The sequence below is a fragment of the Homo sapiens genome, chromosome 2 (genome assembly GCF_000001405.40).
Source record: "Homo sapiens chromosome 2, GRCh38.p14 Primary Assembly".
Classification (NCBI taxonomy): Eukaryota; Metazoa; Chordata; class Mammalia; order Primates; family Hominidae; genus Homo; species Homo sapiens.
The window spans coordinates 108581979-108598124 of NC_000002.12; the positions used below are offsets into that span (position 1 = coordinate 108581979).

The 16146-nt window shown below is 42.0% G+C and overlaps 1 protein-coding gene across 10 annotated transcripts in view, besides 4 other annotated features; it reads left to right on the forward strand.

Annotated features, from left to right (window-relative positions):
* LIMS1 (LIM zinc finger domain containing 1) overlaps positions 1-16146 on the forward strand; it is a 153576-nt gene that overhangs the window by 48308 nt on the left and 89122 nt on the right. For 2 of the 10 annotated variants that reach the window (NM_001394897.1, NM_004987.6), the window contains exon 1: positions 6328-6447. The exons of 7 other annotated variants lie outside the window; for them this stretch is intronic. The gene's annotated coding sequence lies outside the window, so the exon portion shown is untranslated. Of the gene's footprint in view, positions 1-6327; positions 6651-16146 lie in introns of those variants that run through there. One more of the 10 variants, NM_001193488.2, reaches the window with a different exon arrangement.
* Positions 6244-6323: an enhancer, noted in NCBI's record as "active region_16345". NCBI's record gives its function as "activates an Ori minimal core promoter by ATAC-STARR-seq in GM12878 lymphoblastoid cells {active_cell/tissue: GM12878}" and the evidence as "EXISTENCE:reporter gene assay evidence [ECO:0000049][PMID:35858748]".
* Positions 11918-13117: an enhancer, noted in NCBI's record as "CDK7 strongly-dependent group 2 enhancer chr2:109210352-109211551 (GRCh37/hg19 assembly coordinates)". NCBI's record gives its function as "activates an origin of replication core promoter dependent on BRD2, BRD4, P300/CBP, MED14 and CDK7 cofactors, with strong dependence on CDK7, by STARR-seq in HCT116 cells {active_cell/tissue: HCT116}" and the evidence as "EXISTENCE:reporter gene assay evidence [ECO:0000049][PMID:35650434]".
* Positions 12309-12398: a silencer, noted in NCBI's record as "silent region_11850". NCBI's record gives its function as "represses an Ori minimal core promoter by ATAC-STARR-seq in GM12878 lymphoblastoid cells {active_cell/tissue: GM12878}" and the evidence as "EXISTENCE:reporter gene assay evidence [ECO:0000049][PMID:35858748]".
* Positions 12419-12468: a silencer, noted in NCBI's record as "silent region_11851". NCBI's record gives its function as "represses an Ori minimal core promoter by ATAC-STARR-seq in GM12878 lymphoblastoid cells {active_cell/tissue: GM12878}" and the evidence as "EXISTENCE:reporter gene assay evidence [ECO:0000049][PMID:35858748]".

The following is a 16146-nucleotide window of genomic DNA, read 5'->3' on the forward strand; positions in this document are numbered from 1 at the left end:
ACACTGTTTTCTTGATATAGTCAGAGTTTGAAAATATTTCAAGTTGGGGACTTCTTTGATTAAAATGTAAAGTTGATAAATGAATTTAGTTACAGTGCTTTAGTTTTACTAGTATTCAATGTTGTGTGATATTGATGAGTTAAGTCAAACCCTGACAAGCGGTTCCCTTAGGTACTTCAGTGAGTACTTCTAGCATTAATGCTTAATGGCCTCAGAAATCCTCTGGGTCTGTCGTCCTCAGCAGATCTGAAACTGTTCCCTAAGGAGCAAGTGGGAACTTGTGGAGCATTTTTAGTTTATCTCGATGGTTTCAGGAAAGGGGTACCATAGGCACTAAATGGCCTGAGGCCAGAGATGCTGAATGTCATGAAGTATGCATCCACAGGACTTTGATGCTGGTTAAAAACGTAAGAAAGAAAAACACCTTTGTATAATGATGAACATAGAACCTAACTGTGTTTAGGTTGACATCATCAGGTTTAGGTTGATATCTGTTTCAGATATCATCGGCTGGGCGCAGTGGCTCACACATGTAATCCCAGCACTTTGGGAGGCCAAGGTCGGTGGATCACTTGAGTCCAGGAGTTCGAGACCAGCCTGGCCACATGTTGAAACCCCATTTCTACTAAAAATATGAAAATTTGCTAGGTGTGGTGGCATGTGCCTGCAGTCCCAGCTACTTGGGAGGCTAAGGTGGAAGGATTGTTTGAATCCAGGAGGCAGAGGTTGCAGTGAGCCAAGATCATACCACTGCCTGGGCACTCAAGCCTGGGCAACAGAACAAGATGTTGTCTCAAAATAAAAATAAAAAAGATACCATCATGAAGTACTTTTCAACAGTTTCAATAAGCACTAAGTTTTCTGGGAATGCCATGAAATTATAAATTGAGTGAAGGATGAAATTTGCTTGGACTTTATGCTTTATTTTCATAGGTGGTACTAACATTACCACCTATGAACATTTTGCCCTTAATTGTTCCTTTATATTCTATTTAGAAACTCAAATCCTTTAAGACAATGGTTAGAATATATTAAAAAGGGGTGTTTTTTGTTGTTTTTTTGTTTTGTTTTGTTTTTTAGATGGAGTTTCATTCTTATTGCCCAGGCTGGAGTGCAGTGGCGTGATCTCAGCTCACTCCAACCTCTGCCTCCCGAGTTCAAGCAATGCCTCAGCCTCATGAGTAGCTGGGATTACAGGCGCGCACCACCACGCCTGGCTAATGTTTGTATTTTTTTTTTTTTTTTAGTAGAGAGGGGTCTCACCATGTTAGGCAGGCTGGTCTCGAACTCCTGACCTCAGATGATCTGCCCGCCTAGGCCTCCCAAAGTGCTGGGACCACAGGCGTAAATCACCACGCCTGGCCCAAAGGGTTTTGTTTTTAAATGAGAGATGGTTAGTAAACTAATGTTTTCCTGAGTGACATAGGGCATATACATAGAGATGAGCATATACATAGAGATGAGTATGATGAACATTTGGGGTTATAAATGACTTTCATAACAAGGACCTATGAAGAGTATATAAAGGTGGAGACACTGATTAGCACTTGATAGATTGGGTAAATCAAGTTAGGTGAAATTATCCCAGATTTTTTTAAAGTCCCGGGAGGAAAAGATACGCAAGTGTATTGGGCATTGAACAAATTTTTTAAATAAAGATCTATGTCCATTCAGAATAGTCTGTGGAAAGCATTTATCCTGTTATTTTGTTGTTGCTGTTTCTTTTTTTTTTTTTTGAGATGGAGTCTTACTCTCGCTCAGGCTGGAGTGCAGTGGTGTGATCTCAGCTTACTGCAACCTCTGCCTCCTGGGTTCAAGCGATTGTCCTGCCTCAGCCTCCCGGGTAACTGGGACCACAGGCGCCCACCACCACGCCTGGCTAACTTGTATTTTTTAGTAGAGATGAGGTTTCACCATGTTGGCCAGGCTGATTTTGAACTCCTGACCTCAAGTGATCTGACCGCCTCGGCCTCCCAAAGTGCTGAGATTACAGGCGTGAACCACTGCACCTGGCTGTTGTTGCTGTTTCTATGTGAGACTGATAAAGGACAAAAAGAAGATGGCAAGGGATGGATGGAAAAGGCTGGTTCTTCTCTCAGGGTTCCCAGACCATAGCTGGAGATAACCCAGGGTTGTAGCTCCATCTGCTGGAGAGAAGCAAACCCACTCTTACATAGTCTATAAATGAAAGTGATCTCTCCACAATCACAGTGAGCCAGCCTGTGTTTGCTAAGCACTTGCTGTGCACTGTGTAACACTTTGTCAGGCTTAGGGTAACAGAGGAAAAACATAGACATGTTCCCTGTTCCCACCATGCTTAGCTCTGAGAGGCCTTCTGCTGTCAAGAAGACTTATTTTAGCTGGTGTGCTTTTGCATTCTAGGTTTCCCCCTAGACTTTTCCTTGGGTGACTTTTAAAGCCACGTAACCTCATTCTGAGCTTCCTGTTCCTTATTAGAGGTAAGGAATAACAGTGCCCCTCCTATAGGCCTCAGTTTAGCTAAACTTTATTAAGTATCTAGTGTGTCTGCTAGGCAGAGGCCCAAGGAGCATAAAGATGAGTAGGAATCTAGTCCCTGCCCTCCACAAGGTTAGAAACAGGAGCTCATAAAATGATCCTCGCGGAGTAAATGAGAATGTATAACGGGATCCCTGAGGAGGAGTGCGGGATCCAGGCAGGAGAGTCGACTAGGAAGGTATGGACAGGTTTTCTGAGTTGTTTGAGGATGTGAGCATTAGCGAAGGGAAGCCCTTCCCAGCCGAGGTCAGCGTGAGCAGCAGCATGGAGATGAGGGCCTGTGTGGTATGTGTATGTCCCTCTTAGGCTGTGTAAAGTGAGCGGCAGGAAGTGTCCAGGGATGAGGGTTTGGGGACATAGATGGAGCCAGGTAGGGCCTGGAGCAGTAGCTCACGCTTGTAATCCCAGCACTTCGGGAGGCCAAGATGGGCAGATCATTTGAGGTCAGGAGTTCGACACCAGCCTGGCAACATGGTGAAACCCTGTCTCTACCAAAAATACAAAAATTAGCCGAGCGTGGTGGCACGTGCCTGTTGACCCAGCTACTTGGGAGGCTGAGGCAGGAAAATGACTTGAACGTAGGAAGTGGAGGCTGCAACGAGCTGAGATCACTCCATTGCCCACCAGCCTGGGCAACAGAGCATGACTCCGTCTCAAAAAAAAAAAAAAAAAAAAAGGCGGGGCCAGGCGATATAGGGTTTTGTGTGTTACCTTAAGGGATGCTGACTGTCCTCAGTGCAGTAGAGAATTTAAGCAGGGTAGTGATAGCAGGTTCCTTAGACCGCTTGCTGGCTGTGTCTGTTGGATTTGATTGAAGGGGACCAGGCTGGAGACAGGGACTCCATCTAGGAGGCTGCGGCATGCCTGCTTGGATAACGTCGCCATGCCTGAGAGAGGGCACATTAAGATGAAGAATTGGATTTAGGCATGGTGGGGAGGGGAGTTTATTTTAGGCATCATGAGTTTGAGTTGCCTGTGACGATATCTGTATGGAGACATCAGCAGACAATTTGATGTATGATTGCGAAGTTTAAGAAGGTCCAGCCAGTGCCACTAACAGGGAGGAAGTAGTTGAGCCATGAGATTTGTTGAAGTCATCAGGGAGAATGTGCGCAATGAGAGGAGCAGAAAGCCAAGGTCAGGCTGGGGAGTAGCCATACCTACAGCCAGGCAGAGGCTCTTGCAAAAGAGATGGTGATGGGATGACAAGAGGGATAAAAGTACGGTGGTCTGGAAGCCAAGGGAATAGAAAATTCCCAGGAAAGCATCATTTAAAAATGTCAAATGTAAGATAAGGACTGAAAAATGCCTTCTGGATTTGGCTTTTAAGAGCTGTGACTGTAAGAGGTGTTTCCAGATTGCAGTAGGTTGATGAGTAAATAGGAGTTGAGATAACTTTTAGAAAATGGTGTCTGAGGCCGGGCGTGGTGGCTCATGCCTGTAATCCCAGCACTTTGGGAGGCCGAGGCAGGCGAATCATGAGGTCAGGAGATCGAGACCATCCTGGCTAACACGGTGAAACCCCATCTTACTAAAAATACAAAAAATTAGCCGGGTGTTGTGGAGGGTGCCTGTAGTCCCAGCTACTCCGGGGGCTGAGGCAGGAGAATGGCGTGAACCCAGGAGGCGGAGCTTGCAGTGAGCTGAGATTGCGCCACTGCACTCCAGCCTGGACGACAGAGCGAGACTCCGTCTCAAAACACAAAAAAAAACAAAAAAACAAACAAAAAAAGAAAATGGTGTCTGAAAAGAGAGAGCTGTGATGGTAGCTGGAGAGTGACTCAAGATAGACTCATTTTAACGTAGCAGAAACTGGAGCCTATTTACAAACTCTTCGGGGGAAAGAGCCCAAAAAGAAGGAAAGTGGCTGTCTGGATGTGAGTTTATGGACTGACATCAAACAGACCTTGTTGGGACTGAAGGCCTGAAGAGTAAGCATATAGGTGGGAGGTAGTTGAAAGAGAACTTTCCAGATAAACTGTTTTCTTCATGAATAAGTAATAAAGTAATATCTGCTGAGAGAAGAAAGGGATGAGGTCGATTACGAGAAGACCTTCAAGCATGGTACGTCCTTATGCGAGTGGCGCATGGCTTCAAGAGGAGGGTTGATGGGACCCATCCATGAGTAGAGAAGTTAACAACAATGCCAGTCTGCCCAGGATGTTCTGCTGGGACTCAGAAAAACATCCAGTTTCCTTCCTTTAGATTTTAACTGCAGCATCACGAGCTGCCTTCCTAGAGGGAATTTTGTATTTTGGGGCTGTAGCTCAGAAGACTTCCATTCTCTTTTCCCTCTCCCAAGAGAGATCGCAGCTGCTTCCCGGGGTTTATGTCCATGACATAGGACTGTCCCTGCTGGGAATGGGGGAGGGAACTGCTTCCCACTCGAAAGCAGCCTTTTCACTTCCAGCTTCCATCTGCCTTCCACTCCCACCTCCCAAAATAAAGTAAATAAATCAAAGCCAGAAAAACATTCTGGCTGGAATTTTATTACATTCAGTATTGTGTGAGAGCTCCCAAACTAGCTGGGACCGTTGGATTTCAGAGTACGTGAAGGTGAAGCCTGTGAGGTTCCCCCAGGAGTGCTGGGCAGAACCCTGAGTTTTAGAACTCCCTCTGCCTTTAGCTTGTCTTGGATGTGCTTTTCCACTCTTTCAAGCACTAAACCCTTCCCTGTAAATAGTCACCTGCCAGGGTGCCCTCAGGTTATAGCTTGTCACCAGCTCTAAGAGTGGCTAGTACCCAGTCTCAGTGTTGGATAACAAGCAAAAGTGATGAGTTGTTTTCTTGGGGTTTGTGTGTGTGTGTGTGTGTGTGTGTGTGTGTGTGTGTGTGTGTGTGTGTGTTTGGTTTGTTGTGGTGGTATGTTTTTGTTTTTGTTTTTTCAGAGACATGGTCTCCCTATGTTGCCTAGTCTGGGCCTGAACTCCTGGGCTCAAGTGATCTCCTATGTCGGCCTCCCAGAGCACTGAGATTACAGGCAAGTGTAAGCCACTGCACCTGGCCGTTTTCTTGTTTTTAAAGATTAACCTCAGGCCCTAGTTATGTTACCATCCTAGAAATGCAGTTATCCTAAAAATGATTCCTCTATAATAAAGGAATTGGGTAAAGGAGCTTTCTTGCTGTATTTTCAGTGAATTCAGGCAAGGACACCCTCATTCATGGAAGGGGAAGGCTGAATTAATTGCTCTCAAGTTCTTTCTTACCTTCAACTAAATTAGATCCCTTTATTCTCCAGTGGAAACTTGGCACTGAGGAGTCCCAGGAGGTGACTCAGTCGGATATGTGAGGCCTTAGCACCACTGGCCTTGCTGCTTCTGCACTGTGTCTGTCAGGGATATCTGGGACAGAAAGAATAATTTCCGCTGCTGGGGCAGCCAGAGCCTGGCGTGCCCGTCCCTAAGCTGGCCTGCACCTTGCCACCGGAAGATGTAGTGTAGAGTAGCTGCTTGACCCCAGAGTAGCATTCAGAGGGCACATAAAGAAGCTCCGTTAATTCAAACATGTAGTTATTATAGAGATCCAGAGGGCCAGAGGCTATCATTTTTTTAAAGTTACCTCTTTCTATGATGATCAGTTATTCATTTTTCTAAATATTTGTCTGCATGTTATATGTGCTTTCAGTAAGTTTTTGGGTGAATTTCTTAACTTCATAAAGTATATAAAACAACTTAGCAGGATATGAGTTATGACATTTAGGGGTGTTGTCCTATTGCTTCAGAACAGTGGGGTTATCGTGTAACACACCATGTCACATGATTTGACTAAATACAGGAAAAAAAAAAACCCTGAACTTGGTTTCATTGGCTCAAATATAGTTCAAGACAACAGAGACAAAGCTAAGATGAGGAAGTTCTGTACAGTTTAGGAAATAGAGGCTTTCAAAGATAATTCGCAGTGATGTGAAACTGGCCTCCCAAGCCCTGATAAGTAAGTTAAATAAGAGTAGGAGCCAGGAGGGAGGTTCTTTACTCTTGAATTAAGAGAAGGGGAGCTGGAGGTGGCTCAGGTAGAGTGCGTAGGTTTGCAGAACTGGGCCTGTGTGTGTAAAGTGACTAAGGCAAAGGAGTGGAAGTTTGAGAGAAGTTTAAGAGAAGAAATGGACATGATTGCCTAAATCAGCCAAACACAGGGTATTGTTGTATTTCTGGATTTGTTTTCCTTATGACCTACCTTTCTCAGTTATTTAAGAAGCAAATCTAAAGGATATTTGTTGAAACTCTCTATGCAGAAAGGGTCTTGGGTGAGTTGTAGTAACCTTCAGCCATGCTGATTAAAATTTTCTCCCTGCTGCAGAGGTTATGATTGTGGTTCTTATATCTTGTAGATGTGTATTTAATTATTGAAATATGTGAAAACTTTGTTTTATTGGTTTCAAAGTAGGGTGGGTGTGGAAGGGAAACTATGCCTTTTGTTTGCAAAGAAAAATTTAAAAACAATTGATAAACAGTATTTAGTGTCATATGGTTTATATCCTGCAGAGCCTTCTATAAAAGACCTTAGTAATGCTTTTGGCATTTTATTACATTAATTTTTTAAAACATTATTTCTGCTGCCTAGGGTCTTTGGTGGGGAAATGTACTATTTAGCAATATGTTTAGTGAACTTTTGTCCTGTCATGGTAAGAAGAAAGCAGCTATAACTAAGTAAGGAGTTACTCTTATTCATTAACATGTAAAACGCTGTTTAAAAAAAAAAAACTGGTCATTTTTTTAAGTTTTATTTTTAATTGGCACATTTATTTATGGAGTACAATGTGATATTTTGGTTCATATGTACATTGTACAATGACCAAATCAGGGTAATTAGCCTATCAATCATCTCAAATATCACTTTTTCGTGGTAACAACACTTAAAATCCTCTTGAGGTATTTTGAGATATACAATACAGTATTATTAATTATAATCACTTTGCTGTACAATAGATCACCAGAACTTACTCTTCCTAATTTTGTACCTGTTGACAAACTCTTAGTTTCATTGATTCTGTTGTTTTTCTAGTCTCTTTTTCATTTACTTCTGTTCTGATCTTTGTTATTTCCTTCCTCCTGCTAACATTGGGCCTAGTTTGTTATTTTTCTAGTTCCATGAGGTGTAATATTAGGCTGTTATTTGAGATCTTTCTTTTTTGAAGTAGGTGTCTATTGCTGTAAACTTCCCTGTTAGCACTAACTTTTGCTGCATCCCATAAGTTTTAGTATGTTGTATTTCCATCTTCATTTGTCACAAGATTTTTTTATATATCTCCTTTATTTTCTTCTTTAATTTCCCCTTTAATTTTTTCTTTATCTCGATAGTTGTTTAGGAGCATATTGTTTAATTTCCACATATTTGTTAATTTTCCATGTCCTCCTGTTACTTTAGAAACTATTCTAGTTTCATACCATTGTGATCAGAAAAGATACGTGATGTAATTTCAGCCTTCTTGACCTGTCCTGGAGAATGTTCCATGTGCACTTGAGAAGAATATGTATTCTGTTGCTGTTGGGTGGAATTTCCCCCAGCAGGCCACTCTTAAAGGAACTGTAATGCCTCAGACCTACATTTGGAAAACATTTATTAAGGGGTGATTATTTACCCACAGAAGAATCTTTTGCTTTACTACATGACTTGCCTTATACAGTGGACTTCCTAGAGATTTAAATGTATTTGCAAAAGCATTGATTTTACAGTTAACCTTCAAGAACATTAAGAGTGATACCGATTGCATGTGTAAGGCAGTCTCTTATATAGATGTATGTTGTGTGTATGTACACGTGTGTATATATGTACATTCACATACATAATCAGGAAATAAGGAATAGTTATAATGAACAGGAGAACACAAGTATTTTTCATGGATAAGAAAGAAAACATTAAAAAGAGGATGATCATTTTAATTTGGTCTTTTAGTTGATAAAAAGGGTACATGCTTTTTAGTTTGCAAACAACAAGGCACTTTGCATAGCTGATAGAATGAAAATAGAATAAAATATTCTGAATGAACATAAACACTTGGTGGTAGTTTAAAAAATATACAAAAATAACTAAACATCAGGCCATCACAGGTAGTGTCAAGTTTTTGAGGCTAACCAAAAAGAGCGGGGAACCCCCTTCAATTCTAAGAGACGGCACCATGGAGGTAGTGACTTTTGAGTTGGGCTTTGAAGAATTTGACAAATGATGGAAAAGAGTGTTGTTCTAGGCACAGTTGGCAACAGCTCGAGCAAAGGTTTGCAGGTCAGTGTTACTTCTCTCTTCAGAGTCCTCCATTGCCTTTCCATCTCACCTAGAATAACATCCAGTTTTTATGCTGGGCTGCAAGTGCTTTCTGGATCTACCCCCTGCCCTATTCCTTTCTGTGCTGTGTTTTCCGCTTTAGCCTGGAAGATTTGTTAAACAGGGGCTTTGTTTCCTCTTGTTCACCTCTGTATTCCCAGTGCCCAGAGCAGTAAGTGCTCAGTAAATAAATGTTGAATGAATGAAAGAAATTCAAAAATTATCTACTGTGCTGGAATGTTTGAAGGATAAGAATGGCAGGGAGGGAGGGTGTATGTGGAGTATTGGTCTTGAGGGCAGTGTAAAGTTTGGGGACATTAGGGAAGCATCTGTGATGTTGCAGTGAAGTGTTTGCTAATATTACAGTGTAGAGAATGGATTAGAAGGACTAAAGAGCAAGATAGCAATACCATACGAAAGGATGTGTCAGTGGGTCTTTCATTCAGTTGACATTTGAGTGGTTGCCCCATGCTAAGCACTGTGTTAGGTTCTGGGGACACAAAGGTGACTGAGAAATGGTTTCCATGGGTAATGCCAGATGTGTGAACATCCTGTAGCAAAGGACTGAGCAAATGATGCGGTGGGGCCTGAACCTGGGCGTTGTCAGAGGCGTGGGAAGGAGTCTGAAGTCTCATTGATAGTTTCTTGATGTCAGTAGTTCCGCAAGTTCCCAGAAAAAAGAGGAAGCCTTCAGTGAAACTTTTTTTAAAAAAAAATTGATTGATTGACAAGGTCTTGCTCTGTCACCCAGGCTACAGTACAGTGGCACGATCATGGCTCACTGCAGCCTTGACCTCCTGGGCTCAAGAAATTCTCCTGCTCCCGCCTCCCAAATAGCTGTGACTACAGGCACACACCACCATGCCTGGCTAATTTTTAAAATTTTTATAAAAACAGAGTCTCACTGTGTTGCCCAGGCTTGTCTTGAACTCCTGGCCTCAAGAGATCTTCCTGCCTTGGCCTCTCAACATGCTGAGATTACAGACTTGAGCCACCATGCTTGGCCTTTTAAGGGAACTTTTAAAAATGTTTTTAGTTTTTTTTTTTGTTTTTTTTTTTGAGACAGAGTCTCGCCCTGTCATCCAGGCTGGAGTGCAGTGGCATGATCACAGCTCACTGCAACCTCCGCCTCCCAGGTTCAAGTGATTCTTCTGTCTCAGCCTCCCAAGTAGCTGGAATTACAGGCACGCACCACCATGCCCGGCTAATTTTTGTATCTTTGGTAGAGACGAAGTTTCACCATATTGGCCAGGCTGGTCTCGAACTCCTGACCTCAGGTGATCCACGTGCCTCGGCCTCCCAAAGTGCTTGGATTACAGGTGTGAGCCACCACGCCCAGCCTAGTTTTGTTTTTTTCATGCGGGGACTTACAGTGATTTTAAATTGGGTCTTGCCCAAAAGTTAGCCATATGTTGATTGACCCATTAGTTCCAGGAGAAGGAGGTATACAGGAGCAGTGTTTTAGCTCTGAGTCGGTGTGTCACTTCTGAGGCGCAGTTTGTCAGAACAGTTACAGGATGAAATGTTGATGTCCTGTAGAGTGCTTGATTAAAATAAGTGAAGTGGCAGGTGGGGAGGTATTTTATACCCCAAATGTTGCCACAAATGTATGATAATATTGTTGGGAGAAAAGGATACTTTATCAGCCCAGATGGGACATATAATACAGAATCTAAAAAAATTGAAAAATAACTTATACCAATTTTTGTGTGTGGGAGGGGGGTGTGTGGAGAACAGGCAGAGATTCCCTTATAGGGCTTTAAAATGTGCTATGCTGAAAGAAAGTTTGTTTGCAGCCTGGGAAGACATTTAGACTACCAAGTTCTTCGGGTTCAGCTGTTTATGGTCTTTCTTGTCACTTATTTAACAGTTTCAGACCATAAGGAGCGTATACTTTTCTCACTTGTTCTTTATTCATTGAGCCTATTTATCCTTGAAATACTGTGGTGTAAGTTGAAAGACCTTGGGTTTAAATTTTACTTCTGCCATTTGTGTGATTTTGAACAAATTATTTAATATCTGAGTTGCAGATTCCTCATCTGTAAATGGCAATAGTATTTAATCTGTGAGTAGTGTATGTAAAAGGATCCTAGCTTGATATTTGGTGGGATCTAGGTGAACAACAAATGTTCCCCTTTTTATTGTATTAATAGTAAAATGTATATAACATTCAGTTGTGGAGGACACTTGGGTTGTTTCCATACCTTGGATATTGTGAATAATGCTGCTGTAAACATGGGTGTACACATACCTGTTTGCATCCTTGTTTTCAATTCTTTTGGATATATACCCAGAACTGGAATTGCTGGGTCATGTGGTAATTCTATGTTTAGCTTTTTGAGGGACTTCCAATCATTCTCTGCTTTTGTTTTTTAGTTTACTCTGCATCATTTATGCATATCTCCTTTAAGATCCAGAATTACTAGAGTTCAGGGTTTGAAAGCAACTAAATTCACTTTAGTGCCTGATAGTCTCATGGTTTTTCTCTACTTCCAAACATATCTAAACCTTATCCAAGCCTCCCACTGTGTGACTTCTACTGTGAAAAAAGCCATTCTTCTCTTTCTTTTGCTTTTTTCTTTCTTAAATCTTCTCCCCTTCGATTGCCTTTTCTTTCCCTCACTAATTCTTTCCTTCTCACCGCCTGCCTTCTATAAAGGAATGCTGGGGAAAAGGTCTTGCCGGAGTTACTTCTCCATCCCCACTCTCAAGCCTACCCAGACCTGGAGTTGCTGTCTTTGTGAAAAGGGACATAGACACAGAATGATATCCAGATGCTAGATTACGTCAATTTACAATAAACTTTAATTTAAGCCAGACTTTCAGAACAATTAGCACCTGTATAATACTAAAAAATGCCAAGTATCTGGGAAAGGTTGGGTGGGGAAGGAGAAAATAGTATCATCCATGGGGATGATTCAACTCTTAGGGCTGCCAGCCTAGCACACTGCTAGCAACAGCTGGGAAGAAATCATAAAGTGAATTTTCCACAGATAAACCAGCCAGAAATAACACCAGACTGCCAAGTCAGATGTGATTTCTTAGTCATAAAAGGTACTTTTCATTCCTGTAATCCTGATTGGCCTGGTCAGTAATTAAAAGTCAACATTCAGTTTTATTTTACTTATTTCTAGGACCATTGTAGAATCCTTCAGTCATTACATATCTGGTGAGACCCTAGTGGTAAGTAAAGGATATCCATGCACTTGAGGGGAAGGAAGTGTTCACACATGAAATAGCTAGAATAGTAACAAAGCTCCCTTTAAATTCAGACAATAGCAGTGAGCTACTGGTAACAGCCCAAAGGAGAAAATGAGCAGCAGCCAGAATTTTGAGATTAATTTTAATAATTTATTAATGAATGCACCAGCAGAGAAGAGGTGGGAAGGATATGGTCGACAAGTGGTAGGAGTAAAAAATTCAGCTGTGGGGAAGGGGTAGCTTTTGCTTAGAAAGTTCACCACAGACCCCTGCCCTCTAAGTTATGGTGAATTCTGTGGAAGTGATTAGAGTGGAGAAAAAGGAACAAAGAGGGTTGGAATCCAGACGTTCCATGACTAACCCCAAGATGACTAAACCAGCTACTGAATGCACCCACAGAAAGGGAAGTGACATTTACTGAGAACACATTTAGTGTTGCTGAACGCTTAAAATGCTTTCTTTGTGTTCTCAGTCCTTACCAGTCTGTGAGGGGGGTTTATTTTGTCTACATTACAGATGAAGAATCTCACCTGCAAATGAAGAAAGTTGGCTGGCCGACAGGAGATCGTTTGAAATGAAAGGATTCCAGGGTTTCTTTCTACTGAGCGTATTCAATAAGCAGGGCTTATTATACTATCTAGAATGGTGCTATCCTGTAGAAATACAATGTAAGCAGCATGTGTAGTTTTAAGATTTTCTAGTAGCCATTTAAAACAGGAAAAAAGAGATAGGGAAGATTAATTTTAATAATATGTTTAATTTAACCCAGTATATCAAACTGTCATCATGTCCAAGCTATATACATATCATGTCATCAGCATTTTAAAGTTACCAGGAGAATTCAGTGGGTACTTTAAAGTCCATCTGAATTCAGACTAGCCACATTTCAAGTTGCTACATGTGACTACTGGCTACCAAAGTAGACAGCATAGCTCTAAAAAAAAGGTAGACAGACTCATCCTAAAAAAAAATCGAATGTAGAGGCCCTGCTTTGAAGTCATTGAGAGGAATTATGGTGGGGCAAGAAAGCAGCTTCACCTGAGATGGAAAGCTCTGTGGAAGGAAGGTACCATACATAAAAGCAGGGCTGCTCTTGAAAGAATGTGACCATATCATGCAAGGACATTACTGACTGAAGGGCTATTTATGGAGAGCAGTAAGGTCATACCGACCTTTATCACCACTGCCAGTCGTGACCACAGGAAGGCCCTGTGGTGTTGACTGCTAGATGCTGAACCGTATTTGGGTGGGGGTTGCGAGGATGCTGTGTCTTGGCAAATCTACTAACCATTAGGAGTGGAAACCACAGCCTTTAATGTATGTGTGGATGTCATTCCCAAAGAATCTTTTCTTCCAGTGCCTTTTTCAGATGAGGAGGTGTAATGTGTGCTTGAGGAAGTAAGCATGAACAAACTACCTTATATGGGAATTCCCAGACCTCAGCTCCACCCAGACCAAGATAAATGATGGTTTCAGACTGCTATTCCAGCAAAACAGGGACCATCCTATATTTATAATATTCAGTCATTTCTTCCATGCTTTCTTACTTTAAAAAATGTTCTTGAAATTTTCCCTTGGTCTTCTTTCTTCTTGTGATTCTGCCTACTTTGTTGCCTTTGTCCCACTTAACTATTTTCTTCAGTTTTTCCCATTGTACTTGGTTTATTTTGTTGTTGTTGTTGTTGTTCTGTAGTCAACTGTGTACTAGGAATCAGTGTACCCCCCAGGTCCTGTTCTTGGCTCTCAACTGTGGGACTTTCATTCTGTTCCTTCATCTGAAAAATGAAAAACATTAGAATTAGAGTCCTTTATAATCTTTTAGGGCCCTCATTTTGCAGCTCGTTTGGAGCCTCTTTTTTTTATTGTGGTAAAAAACACATAAAATCTACCACCTTAATCATTTTTAAACTCAACAGTTCAACAGTGTTAAGTACACAAGAAGTTGCACCTATGATAAAATGTGAAATAAGATCTAGAGGCTTGAGGAGAACCTGAGGTTATCTGTGGAGGGTGGAAGGCTTATGCTGAAGTGGCCCCCTGAGAGCAAAGATCAGGAGTAAGGGACGATCTCCTAGTATTCACTTGCAGAAGTGACTTAAAGCTGCTAAAAGGATGTGTGTCAGGGCTTTGGCATTCTGCCGCAGACATAGAAAGACCTGATACTGTTTTGACTTCATGTGTCCCTGTAGCCATTCAGCGGCCAACATTTGTATAGTACTTTATCTTTCTCAGCTTATTTCTAATTAGCGATAATTAATACTCTTAGTATTAATACGAGTTAATTTGTAATTCTTACAAAAGAGTGTGAGATAAATGAGCATGTGCTGTCTTTAATTTCCAAAGGAGGAAATGAAAGGGTCCGTGGAAGATGAGCTGTAGCTGTGGAAGGGGCAGAAAAGCCAGAGGGTGGCTCAGGAGTCTGGTGTTATATATGATAACATTTTAAAAATAAGAGGTGAGGAAAATGGGAGCACACTTTTTGGAAGATTAACATAAATGTAAAATGATTTACAGAACAGATCAATGGAATTCAGTTAGGTCTCAGATTTTACTTTCCCCATTAGGGATGTATGTAAAGAAAGGGCATGTTGGCCGGGCATGGCACACGCCTGTAATCCTAGCACTTTGGGAGGCCAAGATGGGCAGATCACCTGAGGTCAGGAGTTTGAGACCAGCCTGATCAACATGGAGAAACCTCATCTCAACTAAAAATACAAAATTAGCCAGGCGTGGTGGTGCATGCCTGTAATCCCAGCTACTCAGGAGGCTGAAGCAGGAGAATCGCTTGAACCTGGGAGGCAGAGGTTGCTGTGAACCGAGATCACGCCATTGCACAGCCTGGACAACAAGAGCAAAACTCCGTCTCAAAAAAAAATAAAAATAAAAAGGAGGGGGGCATGTTGAGGAAATAGGAACTTGAAGTACTTGGGATGGTTCATTAATTTCCCTACGAAACATCTGTTTTTTTTTTTTTTTTTTTTTTTGAGTCTTGCTCTGTTGCTGAGGTGCAGTGGCATGATCTTGGCTCACTGCAACTTCTGCCTCCTGGGTTCAAACGATTCTCCTGCCTCAGCCTCCCGAGAAGCTGGGATTACAGGCACGTACCACCACACCCAGCTGATTTTTGTATTTTTAGTAGAAGTGGAGTTTCCCCTTGTTGGCCAGGCTGATCTCGAACTCCTGACCTCAGGTGATCTGCCTGCCTCAGCCTCCAAAAGTGCTGAGATTACAGATGTGAGCCACCGTGCTTGGTCAAAACATCTTAATTTGACCTTTTTTTTTATTCACAGACCACTTTGAGACTCAACACTTAACGACATTCATAGAAGAAAATGCACAAAGGCACATGCATAGAAAGTTTTTGTATAACTTCCAGGAATTCATGCCCCCAGTGCAGCCACAGCAACACGTGATTGTAATGATGATTGCATTTCTGAAGACTTTTTAAAAGCATTTTTTTGGATAGAAGAGTTAAAATGTTGTGAATTCTTGATAAATTGAATAAGCAACAAATACACTAGCAGTCACTAGAGGGTGATGTTTTCTAGCATACAACATCAAGTTCTTTCCGGCAGGTTGCCATTGTAGGTTCCTGTGTATGTGCTTGCTTGTACGTATGTCTGTGTGAAAGAGACAGAGGCACACACACAGACTGTCTCTACCTGCATAACTAAAAGAATTTCTTTGTGCATGTTTCTTTTTTCTCCTTTTCACTTATCTATAATACAAGCAAAAATGCTTTTTTTTTTTTTTTTTTGCGACAGAGTCTTGCATGTTGCCCAGGCTGGAGTGCAGTGATGCAGTCTCAGCTCACTGCAACCTCTGCCTCCTAGGTTCAAGTGATTCTCCTGCCTCAGCCTCCCGAATAGCTGGGATTACAGGCGCCCGCTGCCACACCCGGCTATTTTTTGTATTTTTTAGTAGAGACGGGGTTTCACTATGTTGGCAAGGCTGGTCTTGAACTCCTGACCTGGTGATCCGCCCGCCTCAGCCTCCCAAAGTGGTGGGATTACAGGTGTGAGCCACCACACCTGGCCAGAAATGCTATTTTTTTAAAGCCTTCTCCCACCTGTTCTACAGATGAATTCTGAATGTTTTCTAATATATCCTTGTTTCTCATCATCCTAGGAATAGCTACCAATTATGAGCACCCACTGTGGTTGGCTGTGC